We start from the raw sequence: 1,935 nt of genomic DNA on the forward strand, positions 1-1,935 counted from the left end.
TCATGCCATTCTCCTGCCTCAGCCTCCCGAGTAGCTGGGACTACAGGCGCCCGGCATCACGCCCGGCTAATTTTTTTTGTATTTTTAGTAGAGACGGGGTTTCACCGTGTTAGCCAAGATGGTCTCGATCTCCTGACCTCGTGATCCACCCGCCTCAGCCTCCCAAAGTTGTGGGATTACAGGTGTGAGCCACCGCGCCCGGCCTATGCTTTTTTTTTAAAAAAAATATTTTCAAACTTTTATTTTAGATTCAGGGGGTACATGGGTAGGTTTGTTACCTGGGTATATTGTATGATGCTGAGGTTTGGGGTATAATTAAGTCTATCAGCCATGTACTGAGTGAGCATAGTACCTAATAGTTGCCCCTCTTCCTCCCTCCCTCCTCCCCCCACCTCTAGTAGTCCCCAGTGTCTATTTTTGCCATCTTTATGTCCATGAGTACTCAATGCTTAGCTACCACTTATAAGTGAGAATATGTGATATTTGGTTTTCTGTTCTCATAGTTATTCACTTTGGATGATGGCCTCCAGCTACAACTAAGGTGTTGCAAAGAACATGATTACATTTTTTTTTCTTTACTTTTCTTTTTTTGTTTTCTGAGATGGAGTCTTGCTCTGTCACTCAGGCTGGAGGGTAGTGGCACGATCTCAGCTCACTGCAACCTCTGCCTCCCAGGTTCAAGCAATTCTCTGCCTCAGATTCCCGAATAGCTGGGATTACAGGTGCCTGCCACCATGCCCGGCTAATTTTTGTATTTTTAGTAGAGACAGGGTTTCACCATTTTGGCCAGGCTGGTCTTGAACTCCTGACCTCGTGATCCACCTGCCTCAGACTCCCAAAGTGCTGGGATTACAGGTGTGAGCCACAGCACCTGATCATGATTTCATTTTTTATGGCTGCGTAGTATTTCATGGTGCATATATACCACATTTCCTTTATTCAGTCCACCATTGACTGGCACCCAGGTTAATTCCTATGTCTTGGGTATGGTGAATAGTGCTGTAGTGAACATATGAATGCATGTGTTTTTTTGTAGAACAATTTATTTTCTTTTCCAGCGTCAAGTTGTAGCTCTGTTTTAAGTTCTTTGAAAATCTCCTGTTTTCCATAGTGGCTGAACTAATTTACATTCCCACCAACAGCATATAAAGGTTTCATTTTTTCTGCAGCCTCACCAACATCTGTTGTTTTTTGACTTTTTTATAATAGCCATTCCAACTAGTATGAGATGGCATCTCATTGTGGATTTGATTTGAATTTCTCTGATTATTAGTGATGATAGGCATTTTACCATGTTTCTTGGCCACATATATGTCTTCTTTCAAGAAGTGTGCGTTCATGTCTTTCACCCATTTTTAAAGGGGGTTGTTTTCTGCTTGTCGAATTTGTTTAAGTTCATTATAGATTGTGGATGTTAGACTTTTGTCAGATGCATAGTTTGCAAATATTTTCTCCAATTTTATAGGTTATCTGTTTACTCTGTTGATAGTCTCTTTTGCTGTGCAGAAGCTCTTTAATTAGGTTTCACTTGTCAATTTTTGTTTTTGTTGCAATTTCTTTTTTGGACTTAGTCATAAATTCTTCCCTAAGGCTTATATCCATTTCCTAGGTTTTCTTCCAGGATTCTTATAGTTTGATGTCTTATGTTTAAATCTTTAATCCATCTTGAGTAAAATTTTATACATGGTGAAAGATAGGAGTCCAGTTTCATTCGGCATATGGCTTGCCAACTATCCCAGCACCATTTATTGAATAGGCAGTCCTTTCCCTGCTGCTTATTTTTGTCAGATTTGTCGAAGATCAGGTGGCTGTAGGTGTGTGGCTTTGTTTCTGGGTTTTCTATTATTTTTCACTGGTCTATGTGTGTGCTTTTGTACCAGTGCCATGCTCTTTTTTGTTGCAATAGTCTTATAGTATAGTTTTATTTCAGGTAAT

The sequence above is a fragment of the Homo sapiens genome, chromosome 13 (assembly GCF_000001405.40).
Source record: "Homo sapiens chromosome 13, GRCh38.p14 Primary Assembly".
In the NCBI taxonomy this organism is placed as follows: Eukaryota; Metazoa; Chordata; class Mammalia; order Primates; family Hominidae; genus Homo; species Homo sapiens.